The 16,340-nt window shown below is 41.2% G+C and overlaps 1 protein-coding gene across 18 annotated transcripts in view; it reads right to left on the bottom strand.

The window, feature by feature from the left end:
• Positions 1 to 16,340, bottom strand: part of AXDND1 (axonemal dynein light chain domain containing 1) — a 189,031-nt gene that overhangs the window by 5,377 nt on the left and 167,314 nt on the right. For all 18 annotated transcript variants that reach the window (NR_073544.2, XM_011509168.2, XM_011509169.2 and 15 more), the window contains 2 exons: positions 15,482 to 15,564; positions 14,397 to 14,629 (listed from right to left, as the gene is read on the bottom strand). Coding sequence is in view for 17 of the 18 variants with exons in the window: in XM_011509168.2 (XP_011507470.1) it covers positions 14,397 to 14,629; positions 15,482 to 15,564 (316 nt within the window). In the remaining variant the exon portion in view is untranslated. The remainder of the gene's footprint in view (positions 1 to 14,396; positions 14,630 to 15,481; positions 15,565 to 16,340) is intronic.

Raw genomic sequence — 16,340 nt, 5'->3', positions numbered from 1 at the left:
CTGTTGCAGTTGGTGGGCTTGATAAGAAGGAAATCATAGCGATAAGTTGCTATAAAACTGTGTTTAGGTGAAAGAGTATAGTGGATAGTCAAAGGTAAAATTCTTCAGAAACTGGCTAGGTGAGCTGACCCAGGTGCTGCATTCCAACTGGTTACTAATTGTGAAATGATGGCTGGAGGACAAGCTGGAGAGTACAATCTAAAACCATGATATGTTCTAGGAATAGTTTTTTTTTTCCTGATAATTTAATATTAATAGAGTGGCAATAAGCTGATAAACAGGGATAAGATGTTCCAGTTTGGCATTGGAGCCTGCCATGACCAAAATGACATGCCCCTGAGAGTGGGAGAAGTCTATGGCACACTCTATGACAATGGTGTTCCAGGGCATTTGGAGCTGACAGTGATGTGGCATTGGTGTATTCAGACCTGAATTTATTATGCAAGCAGCTAGCTTAAGGGCTGGTATACTGCAGATTGTTGGGCTCAAAATCATCAGAAATGTGGAGGCTTTGAAGGCCTTCCTTAGAAATTCAAGGGCCACCATGGCTCACCAGTGGTGTTATGGTGCAATGGGCGCTCTGCAGTTTGGACTCTCCTATCTAGAAGGCTCAGCAGGTCATTCTGCCAATACGCCTGCATTCCACATCCTTGGGGACCATGTCTGGATGGCTCTGAGTAAGTATGCATCTCCTTGATGGACTGTTCCTGGCCACTACAATGTTCTTTGGCAGAGAGTCTATTGGAATTATGAGGTTCCAATAATTCTGGCTTTTGCACGGTAGCTGAGCTGAGCATTAAGTAAAGGACATGGAAGCCAAATCCTTTAAAAGAGAGGTCATCAACACACTTCCAACGGCTTCTTCTGGGCTTGGAAAGATATTACAGCACTATAGCTGGGAGCTTGGGGTCTGCTGTCAGACATATTAGATTTGATTCAGGCTCTACCATTTACTAACTGTTTAACCTTGGACATATTACTAATCCTGTGTATAAATGGGGATAAAAGTAGGATCCACCTCACAGAGTTGTGATTAAATAAGATAATGCATATGATATGCTTAGCACAATGCTTGCACAAGGTAAATTCTTAATAAATAATGGTGATTACTATTATTCTGGTTTTACTTCAGTAGCAATAAATGACAGCCATGAGGCTGCATCCAAATAAGAGCCTGCTGGCCCCTCCACATGTTGCCTCCATGTGTGAAAGGCAGCCCCGATGGCCAGTAGTGCCTGCTCCCAGGGTGGTTGTTCTAGGACAGAACCAGCTTTAAAACTTGCACATATGGTCTCCTGTTTTTGATTCCCACCATGATATAACAAGCATTTGTTTCAAAGTGCACAGCTGTTCGGGATCATAGTAGAGCAAAAACAGGACAGAAAAGTTTTTCCTCTTGGTGGGCAATAGTTACAGCCAAAACTCAGACAATCCCCCTTTCTTTCTTTCTTGCCTGGGTTTGACTGTTTGGATGGCCAGAGTGGAAAATGAGAGCTGAATTACCAGTAGTACCTTGTGAACTCCAGGATCTGTCAGACTTCTGGGTAGGGGGTAGGGATGGGGACAGTTTGCCTTCTAAAAATCAGTTTGCCTTGGCAAGACAGATCATGGAAACTCTTAATCTTCAGACTTTCAAAAGTGTTTCTCAAGCTGGCCTAGAGGTAGCCTAAAGTATAACTCTGCCAGGTCAGGTGCTCGTGGGACCCAAACCTGGCAAATACCAGAGGATGCCCTCCAAACCGACAGAAGCCACTGCAGTCTTGCAGGTGCCCTTTCATTGGACATTTAAGAATAGAAGCATTGTCCTGGCAGAATGGCACATTGCTGTATAATGGGACTGCTTAGGGCACTTCTGGAAGGCTGCCTTACACGTTCTTTGCTGCACCATTTTAGACAAGCTGCACTTCTCAAAAACCTGCACTCTGCATAGTTCATCTTTGAGGTCAGAGGGATTAGTAGGCTTGCTTAGCAATCCTGAATGGGAGCTTGCCTTGAGGCTGTGGCAGACCTGGCTAGAATGAGCTCTACATTTTTCTGAGGCAGTGATGGAAATCCTGATGAACCCTAGACACAGCTTCATATCAATATAGCTACAGAATGCCTCAGCCTCAGGCTCACCTAGCAAGCACTGCAGTTTTGCAGGTATGCAGGGCCTACGCAGCAGGGCTACAGCAGTTTTATTCCTAATTTTAGAGAAACTCCTCTGCTTCCTCTGGGGAAATACTTGCTGGTAGATGGATACTTATTTGATTTCAGGAATACCCAGACAGTGATCTAGAGCTTTGGGGCCTGCAAGCAGAATTTCCAGCAGGCTTTAAAAGTGAAATGCAAGATATGTTTCCCAAGTAGTATCTGGGTCATTGACCTCCAGCTAGGAAAGGCCAAGGACAAGAGGAAAGTGCAGTCACTGAATGCTACAAGGTAGCAGACAAGTGACCTGACCATAGTCAAGTCAGTGAGACCAATTGTGAGAGTGGGACCAGATCTCTCAGGGGAGAATCTCCTGGAGCCCACGCGCACTGAGTTGCTGTAGGTATGTGGTGAAGAGCCAGGCCTGGTGGTTGAGGGGGACTGTCCACTAAGCTTTCTAAGATCCTTAAGTACACTATGGTATGCACTCCCAAAACAGTACCAACTCGGCACTACAGGACATGGAACCTGTCGCCACTGAGATTGGGGGCTGGGACACAGAGGAGTATGATGAGGCTAACCAGTTTCCTCTCTCTGAAGGGCCAGAGCAGCTTTCTAGAAAAATGGACAGCATGGCTCGGTCTGGACATCTAAGTACAGAATGGCTAGTCTCCCATATGCAAGCACAACAGCCTCACTCGGCAGCCTGACTGCCAGTGATGAGCAGCAGAAGTTCCTCCCTCCACTCTGCTTGGGAGACCACTTCAGGGACACCCTGAGAAGGTGTGGCAGGGTCTCAAGGACTATTTAAACCTTCCCACAAAGCAGTTACTTGGGAGAGTGGAACTGGCCAGGCTAACTTGCAGAGAGCAGCAGTGCAGGTGCCCTCCCTGGGGCATACTTTTTTTTTTTTTTTTTAACCACCTAACACTCATTATGTCTTCCTAACCCCACCCTGATTTCCTTTCCCCATAGTGTGTCCCATCTTAGTGGAAGAGCACCGCAAGGCGTCCTTCCTTCACTTTAAGGAAGCCAGAGAGACCTGTGAAGTCTTCTCAACATCCCTGGTTCATCCATAGGGAGGTTTGTGACCACAGGGTAGCTTTTCTCTCTCTTGGGACTTTGAGACTTTGGCAGAATAATGTAAGGATGAAATAAATGATTGGTGTTTGTTTGGTGGTAGCACTGGAACAGATGGTGAGGAACTATTGTGCCTGATCTAAAGCTAGCTGGTTCCTGTCTGTTCCCAGCCTAGTTCTTCAAAACTTCCCTTCAAATCCTTGAACCCCCCAGCATCCTTTCAATACATTATCTTTTTTCATGGGCTTGCAAGAGTAGGTGCTTGTAACAAAACCACCTCAGCTAATGTGGGTCCATGATGCCAATCACCTCATTCTAATTGTAGTGGCAGCAGATATAACTCTGGAATTTAGAGACTAAGCCTTCTACGCAATGGAGCTGACATGGTATTTGGCACATTCTAAGGGACAAGGCTCATGTTCAGGGATGGGGCCTACTGATTTGTATGGAAATGACAACTCATGCCTGCAAAGTGGAAAATCAATAAAAATTATTCTGCAACCCCACAAAAAGTCCCCAAATTTTCTAGAGCTATCCAGGAATTTCTCTGGGAAGGAGCAAAGATAAGGCTGGCTCTGTTCCGTCAGGCAGCAGCTGTAATTATGAGCCAACAGCTTCAGCTCGTCTGTCATTTGGGCCAGGAGCACTGCCAAGTTTCTGAAGAATTTCATGTTTTCTTTTCGCAGAGGTAAAGAGTGGAACTGACCAGACTCCATCTAGTAGTCTTAGGTATATACTAAGGAATGTTGAAACCCATCCCTCACACAGTTTAATGATGGCCAATGACAGGCCTGGCCAGGGTTGGCTTAAATAAAGATGGGGACTCTAGAGTTGGGATTTCTGAGGCTAGAAGAACAGGTAAAGGTCTAAAATTCTAGGAGATAAACCCAAAGAAACACCAAATATGTGGAATCAATGCAGGTGTAGAAATCTTGCCACAGGTGTTCAGAGATAAGAGCAAAGGCAAGTGAGCCAGGAGCAGTGAGGCAGCAGGGAGCCCTTGCTGAGTGACTGCCCAGAACATCCAGTTGTCACTTGCAACTGATTTTTGCAGGTTAGTCCATCTCTTGTGCCTAGATGGATTCAGGGTCATGAACAGAGCAGACAAATGAGACAGTAAAAGCAAGAAATAGAGATTCTGGGTGAATCTTCAGCAACACAGGCCCCTATGAAGGAAACCATCTGAACAATGGCCTGGTGGCCCTTCACTATTGTGAAACAGTCTAGACATGAGTCCAGTGAGCTGGGGGCTCTGACACCAATCAGCTCTGTGACCGTGTCTTATAATCACTGGGCCTCAGTTTTACCTTCTGAGAATATCTCCTCCACCTACTTTGCAGGGTTATTGCAAAGATCAGATAAATTATAAAAATGTCAGAAATCATAAGAAATCCGAAAATGCTGCAGAAACCTAACAGCATCGTCAAGATTTTCTCTCTTCTCTCTTTTTTTCTTTTTCTTTTTTTTTTTTTTTTGAGATGGAGTCTTGCTCTGTTGCCCAGGTTGGAGTGCAGTGGCGCGATCTGAGCTCACTGCAACCTCCACCTCCTGGGTTCAAACGATTCTCATGCCTCAGCCTCCTGAGTAAGCTGGGACTACAAGTGCGCACCACCATGCCTGGCTAATTTTTGTGTTTTAGTAGAGACGGGGTTTTGCCACGTTGGCGAGTCTGGTCTCGAATTCTTCACCTCAAGTGATCCTCCCACCTTGGCCTCCCAAAGTGCTGCGATTACAGGCGTGAACCACCGTGCCCAGCCTAGATCTTCTCTTTTAAATTGAAAAACTAATGTTTTTTTATTTGCCAGTCTTGTCTGCAGAGTTCAAAGTTTTCAAAAAGCATTATTTTCTCGAGAGAAACTGACATTTCACAGACCTCTGTTAGGAAATCAATTGAAGAGGCTAACAAACTTGCATAAGCTATTTTTAATGCGGGAAGTGAGCTAATGCACCTGACTCCCTACAGCCATCGCTGTGACTTAAAGAGAAAATGCTCTTGCGTTGTAGGTTATGGCTTTTCTAGTGGCTGTTACAAAGGGGGTCCCTCCAACTGAGCCACATCAGCTCTATAACGCAGTGATATCTGGGGTGTGTTCAGTGGATAGAGCCATTGTGAACCCCAGAGCTCTGTGGACACTACTTGGGTTTTGTTTTGTCATTGGATGTAGTCTGGATTCCAGATTTAATGTTGAGAGCACCGTCCTTGCATGGTACCTCTAAAAAGACAAAAACAGCTAGAATATTGTAGTAATAATATCTTATATTTACTAAGGGTTTTTAATTTTACAAAGCAGTTTTACATTTTTTCTGCCTGGGTAACCCTCAAGCTACAAATAAGCTATGTGCCACAAATTTGACTCTAAATTGGTTATTGGCATTCAGAATGCATTTCCCAAGTTCAAGTGTGGTCATTTAACTGTTTGAGTTCTGGGTCCTGGGGCAGGACAGAATGTGGTCAAGGAGTGAAGAAGAGAAAGAACATCTCCTCCTTCCCTCTTGTACACAACCGAAGCTTGGTGAAAAAAAATTCAAATGGAAACAGTCTTCAGAATCTTCCCTTAACCATTCCTGAGCCCTTCTGTTGTCTCCCCAACCCTTTCTTTCCAGGCTCCTGTGCACAGACCTTGATGGCCTCTGGCCATCAAGCCTGCTCCCCCCAACATGCACGTGAAAAACAGCCCCGTGACGCTGCTTCCCAATTTGAATCCTTCAGACTGGCTGCTGCCATCTCCATCTTACATGTGGTTGCCTTTGTATTACTATTTGCACTTTGTATTACTGTTAGTGTAACTTCTCCACACCCAACTGTAGACCCCACTGAGATCCAGGACTAAGCCATATTCATCTTTGCAAACTTCCCTCTTGATTCCTTTTTCAGTCACAGCTCAGAGCACAGTGATTTGCTAATTATTAAAAATACTGACATAAAAATAAAAATAAATACATCCCCTACTCTGTCCAGGTCTTCTCTTTACTCAGCATTCACAAGGCTCCTGCCGTTACCACAATATAATTTTCTATTCCTTCACTGCACAACCCTCAGGAAAAAAGTGATTTTATTGCACTAATATATATAAATATAGCAGTGCCAGATTGCTCCAGAGGTATCTGCATTTTTTTCAAGGGGTTACCTGCTAACTCTAAGGATGGATTTAACCTATGGATTTTCTGGAGACTCTGTTTAGGTCCCTTGCAGGGCACAGGGACTGCCGTGAGTAGGAGGCAGCTCTCCTGAGCTTTGCAAGGCGTCTCATCTTCCACTTCAGAGCCCCCTGGCAATGATTTTGCTGGTGGTTTTTGGAAGGAGGGGGAAGGGTGGCTGGGTGTCTGTGTAAATTACTGTTTGCAGGCTGGGGACTAACTTTATGTAGCTATTCTCTACCTTAAATAATTAAAACTTCTCAGTTCTGGATTTAACCGAATCCTCAAGACTTTCGTGGGAATGGACAAAACTAAAGTCCCACATTCCATATTGAGGTAACCTCTCTAGTTTAACAAGTAGGCTTTTTGGGTGGTTTGCTTATTTATCTTCCTAAATCTAGAAAAGGTCCAGTTTTCAAATTATCAGGATAAAAGTACATTCAGAATATAAGAAGATGAAATTTTAAAAATTCATGAAAACTCTCTCACATGCATTCAAACCTAAAACTAAGGACTGATTGTCAGACTTGTAATAAATGACATTTTCGCCAGTTCAGAGTTGAAAGGAGTAGAAAAAATGAATTCACACTCTATAGGGTTAATGTCCCTGTACCTAGGGCCAGGGGCTGCGAGCAGTTGGCTAACTTCACTGCTTTTGCTGAGGGGCAGGTGGAGATAGGACTGACAGAGAAAAACGGAAAGTAGATGTCTTTCCAGTACTATCCTTTGCACCAGGAACTGTCCTGGGAACAGACCACAGGTTGGAGATGAAAGCAAAAATAAAAAAATAGCCTCTAATATTAGAAATATTGAGAACTGCTTGTGGGCATATTGCAGCACTAATTAGAAATAAGAAAATGAACAATTAAATTCCTCTCCCTATAACATAAAGTATCTGTAAAAATCATATGAAGTCAAACACGTACCAAAAAATAAAGATAAAACTTCCTACAAACCTCTATTACCCAGAGACAATGTCTGTGAATATTTGGGCATATTTCTTTCTGGTCTTTTTTCTGCCTTTAAAAAATGATGTCATATCCTGTTTCTTGCATTTGATAGTTAACATAAAATTTCCCATGTCACTAAAAACTCCTTTAAACACCATTTTAATAGTTGTGTAATATTTATGTATATTAATACAGCATGATTTATTTAATCTTTCATGATTGAACACGTAGGTTGTTTCTATTTTTTCTATTATACACAATGATACACTGAACATCTTTGTATATTAATTTTGTGTATTTAGGATTATTAAGATTCTCACGTGTGAAATTATTATGCATATATTATCATGCATATATTATCATGCATATTATCATGCAATATTATTATGCATATTATCATGCATATATTATGCATATATTATAAATATATGCATGTTTTAAAGGGATAGCCATACATACTATCAAATTATTTTCTAAAATGGTTGTATGTGTTTGTCTACTCACAAGTATTACCTGTATAACTATTATATGCTGCTACTTCTAATCAGCATTGTGTTCTTTTATTAAAAAAAAAAAAAAAACAAAAACGGATTTTCCGGCAAGATGGCCAAATAGGAACAGCTCCAGTCTTCAGCTCCCAGTAAGATCAATGCAGAAGACGGGTGATTTCTGCATTTCCAACTGAGGTACCTGCTTCATCTCATTAGGACTGGCTGGACAGTGTGTGCAGGCCATGGAGGGAGAGCCAAAGCAGGGCAGGGCGTCGCCTCATCCAGGAAGTACAAGGAGTCAGGGTATTTCCCTTTCCTAGCCAAGGGAAGCCATGAGAGACTGTACCAGGTGCGACGGTACACTCTTGCCAAAATACTATGCTTTTCCCGTGGTCTTCGCAACCCACAGACCAGGAGATTCCCTCTGGTGCCTGGCTCAGCGGGTCCCCCACCCACGGAGCCCAGCAAGCTAAGATCCACTGGCTTGAAATTCTTGCTGCTAGGGCAGCAGTCTGAGATAGAACTGGGATGCTGGAGCTTGGTCGGGGGAAGAGCGTTCGCTATTGCTGAGGCTTGAGCAGGTGGTTTTATGCTCACAGTGTAAACAAACCCATTGAGAAGCTCAAACCAGGTGGAGCCTACTGCAGCAGTGAGGCCAACTGCCTCTCTAGATTCCACCTCTGTGGGCAGGGCATATCTAAACAAAAGGCAGCAGCCCAAGTCAGGGACTTATAGAAAAAAGCCTCATCTCCCTGGGACAGAGCACCTGAGGGAAGGGCAGTGGTGGGCACAGCTTCAGCAGACTTAAATGCCTGACAGCTCTGAAGAGAGCAGTGGTTCTCCCAGCATGGCGATCGAGCTCTGATAACAGACAGACTGCCTCCTCAAGTGGGTCCCTGACCCCCGTGTAGCCTGACTGGGAGATACCTCCCAGTTGGGGCCGACAGACACCTCATACAGGAGAGCACTGGCTGGCATCTGGCAGGTGCCCCTCTGGGACGAAGCTTCCAGAGGAAGGATTGGGCAGCAATATTTGCTGCTCTGCAGCATCCGCTGATGATACCCAGGCAAACAGGGTCTGGAGTGGACCCCCAGCAAACTCCAACAGACTTGCAGCTGAAGGACCTGTTAGAAGGAAAACTAACAAACAGAAAGGAATAGCATCAACATCAAAAAAAAGGACATCCACACCAAAACCCCATCCATAGGTCACCAACATCAAAGACAAAATGTAGATAAAACCACAAAGATGGGGAGAAACCAGCACAGAAAGGCTGAAAATTCCAAAAACCAGAATGCCTCTTATCCTCCAAAGGATCACAACTCCTCACCAGCAAGGGAACAAAACTGGATGGAGAATGAGTTTGATGAGTTAACAGAAGTAGGCTTCAGAAGGTGGGTAATAACAAACATCTCCGAGCTAAAGGAGCATGTTCTAACCCATCTCAAGGAAGCTAAAAACCTTGAAAAAAGATTAGACGAAATGGCTAACTAGAACAACCAGGGTAGAGAAGAACATAAATGACCTGACGGAGCTGAAAAACACAGCATGAGAACTTCGTGACGCATACACAATCTTCAATAGCCAATTAGATCAAGCAGAAGAAAGGATTATCAGTGATTGAAGATCAAATTAATAAAATAAAGAGAGAAGAAAAGATCAGAGAAAAAAGACTGAAAAGAAATGAACAAAGCCTCCAAGAAATATGGGACTATGTGAAAAGACCGAATCTACGTTTGATTGGCGTACCCGAAAGTGACGGGGAGAATGGAATCAAGTTAGAAAACACTCTTCAGGATATTATCCAGGAGAACTTCCCCATCCTAGCAAGGCAGGCGAATATTCAAATTCAGGAAATACAGAGAACACCACAAAGATATTCCTTGAGAAGAGCAACCCCAAGACACATATTTTCAGATTCACCAAGATTGAAATGAAGGAAAAAATATTAAGGGCAGCCAGAGAGAAAGGTTGGGTTACCCACAAAGGGAAGCACATCAGACTAACAGCAGATCTCTCAGCAGAAACCCTACAAGCCAGAAGAGAGTGGAGGCCAATATTCAACATTCTTAAAGAAAAGAATTTTCAACCCAGAATTTCATATCCAGCCAAACTAAGCTTCATAAGTGAAGGAGAAATAAAATCCTTTACAGACAAGCAAATGCTGAGAGATTTTGTTTCCACCAGGTCTGCCTTACAAGAGCTCCTGAAGGAAGCACTAAACATGGAAAGAAACAATCGGTACCAGTCACTGCAAAAACATGCCAAATTGGAAAGACCATCGACACTATGAAGAAACTGCATCAACTAATGGGCAAAATAACCAGCTAGCATCACAATGACAGGCTCAAATTCACATATAACAATATTCACCTTAAATGTAAATGGGCTAAATGCCCCAATTAAAAGATACAGACTGGCAAATTGGATAAAGAGTCAAGACCCATCAGTGTGCTGTATTCAGGAGACCCATCTCCTGTGCAAAGACACACATAGGCTCAAAATAAAGGGATGAAGGAAGATCTACCAAGCAAATGGAAAACAAAAAAAAGGGGTTGAAATCCCAGTATCTGATAAAACTGACTTTAAACCAACAAAGATCAAAAGAGACAAAGAAGGCCATTACATAATGGTAAAGGGATCAATGCAACAACAAGAGCTAACTCTCCTAAATATATATGCACCCAATACAGGAGCACCCAGATTCAGAAAGCAAGTTTTTAGAGACCTACAAAGAGACTTAGACTCCCACACAATAATAGTGGGAGACTTTAACACCCCACTGTTAATATGAGACAGATCAATGAGACAGTAAATTAACAAGGATATCCAGGACTTGAACTCAGCTCTGGACCAAGTAGACCTAATAGACACCTACAGAATTCTCCATCCCAAATCAATAGAATATACATTCTTCTCAGCACCACATCACACTTATTCTAAAATTGACCACATAATTGGAAGTAAAACACTCCTCAGCAAATATAAAAGAGCAGAAATCACAACAAACTGTCTCTCAGACCACAGTGCAATCAAATTAGAACTCAGGATTAAGAAACTCACTCAAAACCACACAACAACATGGAAACTGAACAACCTGCTCCTGAATGACTACTGGGTAAACAACAAAATGAGGGCAGAAATAAAGATATTCTTTGAAGCCAATGAGAATGAAGACACAACATACCAGAATCTCTGGGACACATTTAAAGCAGTGTGTAGAGGGAAATTTATATCACTAAATGCTCACAAGAGAAAGCAGGAAAGATCTAACATTGACACCCTAACATCACAATTAAAAGAACTAGAGAAGCAAGAGCAAACAAATTCAAAAGCTAGCAGAAGACAGAAATAACTAAGATCAGAGCAGAACTGAAGGAGACAGAGACACAAAAAACCCTTCAAAAAATCAATGAATCCAGGAGCTGGTTTCATGAAAAGATTAACAAAATAGATAGACCGCTAGCAAGACTAATAAAGAAGAAAAGAGAGAAGATTCAAATAGATGCAATAAAAAATGATAAAGGGGATATCACCGCTGATCCCACAGAAATACAAACTACCATCAGACAATACTATAAACATCTCTATGCAAATAAACTAGAAAATCTAGAAGAAATGGATAAATTCCTGGACACATACACCCTCCCAAGACTAAACCAGGAAGACGTCAAATCTCTGAATAGACCAATAACAGGTGGCAAAATTGAGCCAATAATTAATAGCCTACCAACCAAAAAAAGTCCAGGACCAGATGGATTCACAGCCAAATTCTACCAGAGGTACAAAGAGGAGCAGGTACCATTCCTTCTGAAACTATTCTGATTAATAAAAAAAAGGGAATCCTGCCTAACTTATTTTATGAGGCCAGCATCATCCTGATACCAAAATCTGGCAGAGACACAATAAAAAAAGAGAATTTTTGACCAATATCCCTGATGAACATTGATGAGAAAATCCTCAATAAAATACTGGCAAACCAAATCCAGCAGCACATCAGAAAGCTTATCTACCACAATCAAGTCGGCTTCATCCCTGGGATGCAAGGCTGGTTCAGCATATGCAAATCAATAAACGTAATCCATCAAATAAACAGAACCAATGACAAAAACCACATGATTATCTCAATAGATGCAGAAAAGGCCTTCAACAACAGCCCTTCATGCTAAAAACTCTCAATAAACTAGGTGATGATGGAACGTATCTCAAGATAATAAGAGCTATTTATGACAAACCCACAGCCAATATCATACTGGATGGGCAAAAACTGGAAGCATTCCCAGCACAAGACAAGGATGCCCTTTCTCACCACTCCTATTCGACATAGTGTTGGAAGTTCTGGCCAGGGCAATCAGGCAAGAGAAAGAAATAAAGGGTATTCATTGGAAAAGAGGAAGTCAAATTGTCTCTGTTTGCAGATGACATGATTGTATATTTAGAAAACCTCATCATCTCAGCCCAAAATCTCCTTAAGCTGATAAGCAACTTCAGTGAAGTCTCAGGATCAAAATCAATGTGTAAAAATCACAAGCATTCCATGCTATACACCAATAACAGACAAACAGCCAAATCATGAATGAACTCCCATTTATAATTGCTACAAAGAGAATAAAATACCTAGGAAAACAACTTACAAGGGATGTGAAGAACCTCCTCAAGGAGAACTACAAACCACTGCTCAATGAAATAAAAGAGGACACAAACAAATGGAAGAACATTCCATGCTCATGGATAGGAAGAATCAATATCGTGAAAATGGCCATACTGCCCAAGGTAATTTGTAGATTCAATGCTATCCCCACCAAGTTGCCACTCACTTTCTTCACAGAATTGGAAAAATCTATTTTAAATTTCATATGGAACCAAAAAAGAGTGCACAGAGCCAAGACAAGCCTAAGCAAAAAGAACAAAGCTGGAGGCATCACGCTACCTGACTTCAAACTATACTACAAGGCTACGGTAACCAAAACAGCATGGTACTGGTACCAAAACAGATATATAGACCAACGGAACAGAACAGAGGCCTCCGAAATAACACCACACATTTACAACCATCTGATCTTTGACAAACCTGACAAAAACAAGCAATGGAGAAAGGATTCCCTATTTAATAAACGGTGTTGGGAAAACTAGCCAGCCATATGCAGAAAGCTGAAACTGGATCTCTTCCTTACACCTTATACAAAAATTAACTCAAGATGGATTAAAGACTTAAATGTAAGACCTAAAACCATAAAAACCCTAGAATAAAACCTAGGCAATACCACTCAGGACATAGGCATGGGCAAAGACTTCATGACTAAAACACCAAAAGCAATAGCAACACAAGCCAAAAGAGACAAATGGGATCTAATTAAACTAAAGAGCTTCTGCACAGCAAAAGAAACTATCAGCAGACTAAACAGATTGGGAGAAAATTTTTGCAATCTATCCATCTGACAAAGGGCTAATATCCAGAATCTACAAAGAACTTCAACAAATTTACAAGAAAAAAGCAAACAACACCATCAAAAAGTGGGCAAAGGATATGAACAGACACTTCTCAAAAGAAGACATTTATGCAGCCAACAGACACATGAAAAATGCTCATTATCACTGGTCATCAAAGAATGCAAATCAAAACCACAATGAGAGGCCATCTCACACCAGTTAGAATGGCGATCATTAAAAAGTCAGGAAACAACAGATGCTGGAGAGGATGTGGAGAAATAGGAACACTTTTACACTGTTGGTGGGAGTGTAAATTAGTTCAACCATTGTGGAAGACAGTGTGGCGATTCCTCAAGGATCTAGAACTAGAATTACCATTTGACCCAGCAATCCCATTACTGGGTATATACCCAAAGGATTATAAATCATGCTACTATAAAGACACATGTACACGTATGTTTATTGCAGCACTATTCACAATAGCAAAAACTTGGAACCAACTCAAATGTCCATCAATGATAGACTGGATAAAGAAAATGTGGCACATATACACCATGGAATACTATGCAGCCATAAAAAAGGATGAGTTCATGTCCTTTGTAGGGACATGGATGAAGCTGGAAACCATCATTATCAGCAAACTATCACAAGGACAGAAAACCAAACACCGCATGTTCTCACTCATAAGTGGGAGTTGAACAATGAGAACACATGGACACAGGGAGGGGAACATCACACACTGGGGCCTGTCAGGGGGTCGGGGGCTGAGGGAGGGATAGCATTAGGAGAAATACCTGATGTAAATGATGAGTTGATGGGTGCAGCACACCAACATGGCACATGTATACCTATGTACCAAACCTGCACGTTGTACACATGTTCCCCAGAACTTAAAGTATAATAAAAAAAAGAAAAAAAAAACCTTTGCCAGTTTTGTAAATAAAAATTGTATCTGAGCTACTTTATTCATTCACAATTGTTATTCATTTGGTTTTCCTTTTTGTGAGTTGTCCGAATAAGATGGTTATGTGATTAAAATATGCACATTCCTATGAGAAGTATAAACTAGTAGATTAGCACCAAATATATTAATGTTCTTCTACAATATTTGTGGCCCAGTCAAATTTTCTTTCATAAATACAACCTGAATAAAGCAAAATACGAAGCAATCCTTACCTTTCTTTGGAGATTTTGAGGAATTTTCTGCTGACCTGACTTCTTCTTCTTCTTGTTGTTCTTCTTCTTCTTTTACTTCTCTTTCATCTTGATTTTCTTTCTCTTCTTTAGACTCCTTTCTTGATGTCATGACTAATTCCTCTAGATCTTTATTTTTTATAAGGGTATGATGAAGTTTCTCATATGCATCTTCAAACTTCTCCTCTGCCTGTCTGGCTCTATTTTCAACCTCCCTGATATGGAAGAGAAGACACAACAAAATAGAAAGGGTTGAAAAAGTATTTTTGATTTCGAAACTCATTTTCTAAAAAGGCAGTGAGATTAGATGAATGTGTCTGAAGGGTAGAAATAAGGGAAGCAACAGCATCAATGATTAACTGAGAACTGGGGGCCCAGGAGCGACTCTGAATGCTAATGTCAGAGTAGAAATCATGCTGCTATTTAAGAATATATTTATCACTTCTTAGTAAAATCTGATTTGGGGTATCTGGAATTCTCCATCAATGGCCAGGGAACTCCCTTTCAAGAGTTAATTTTGGCTTCTCTTAATTGATGTGATCCAACAAACTAAATTCAACAGAGTCACTTCTTTTCTAGCACCTCTAAAACCAAATTTTTTACAATCAAAGAAACCAGCTTGAGATGTGCTTCTTAGCTACTACAGCACGTTATATGTCTACATGGCTACGCTCTTCTCCTGGCATCCCCAGCCATCTTAACTATACCGCCCTTTCTACTCTGAGTTATGTAACATTCTTTCCCAAGCACAATAGTTTCTCCTAGTTTCATCTATTTCCCTAAGTTATCTCTTAGAAACAAACATTGAACTGGATCACTCTAACAACCCCCTCCAACACACACAAATAGTTTGACTTCCTCTATCTTTCCACTGTAGTTAAGAATGGATGTTTCCACCAGGGCAGTGTAGTTTACTGCCTCTAGCAGAACATGTGGAGATACACATCCCCCTAATGTGGATAAAGAAAGCAGGAGAGCCAAAGGGAAGCCAAAAAGTGTGAATTTCTCAGTCAAACCTTCTGGCCAGCCATTTTCATCCTCTTACCATTGTGTTGACTCATACTTACAGTAACTTCTCCTGCATATGTTCAATTACAGCCATTGCTTCAAGATATTTTTGGGCCAATGTACCTTGCTTAGCTGACTCTCTCTGACAGAGGAAATATGAGATATGAATGAACTGACAGTCTCAACAATTAGTATTCTACTTTTTTAGGATGTTCTGGATCAAACCTTCTAGAATATTCTTTGTCTACTACCCATATCTATCTAATAGATGGTTAAGCACACCCTTAATACCAAAAAAAAAAAAAAAAAAGGGATTGTCTCTGGTCAAATAGCATAGAAGCTTCCAAATTACTCGTGCTTCAGGTGAATAAGAATTTGATTTGAATTGTAAAGAAGAAGCAGGGGAAACAGTAACAACAAAAAGAAACAGAGAAATAAAAAAAGATTTAAAAAATAAGGAGAAGGATCAACATGTTTCTTTATAAGTCAAGTTAAAGATCAAGGAAGCTAACTTGTATATCTGTCTTACTAATAATTTACTTCACTAAGAATGTAACATTGCAAAATCCAATGAAGTCGTTAAATTCCTTAGGGGACTTCATAAATATCAGTTAAAGATGTAGATCTTGCCAGGCAAAGAAAATATAGAAAAAAGATAACCTCTTTAATTTATTTTGACTCTATATAAGAGGAAGGTGAGAGAGGAAATTTAGAGGACAAAAACTATAAGCATATTTTTAATTGAATATTAACATTTTCCCAGAACAATATACTTTTAAAGTCTCATTTATCCATGTCTCTCAAGCAGTGTCAGGTATAAGGTAAAGTCTACCTTATAGACGGAAGGAGAGATAGAAGAGGGTGGACAGCCTGCCACAATCACAGCATGATCCGGTGGGCTAAAGCAAGCCTGCATCT

The sequence above is a fragment of the Homo sapiens genome, chromosome 1 (genome assembly GCF_000001405.40).
Source record: "Homo sapiens chromosome 1, GRCh38.p14 Primary Assembly".
Taxonomy (NCBI): Eukaryota; Metazoa; Chordata; class Mammalia; order Primates; family Hominidae; genus Homo; species Homo sapiens.
Note: the sequence above shows the minus strand (reverse complement) of the source record. Positions and strands in the feature narration are given on the sequence as shown.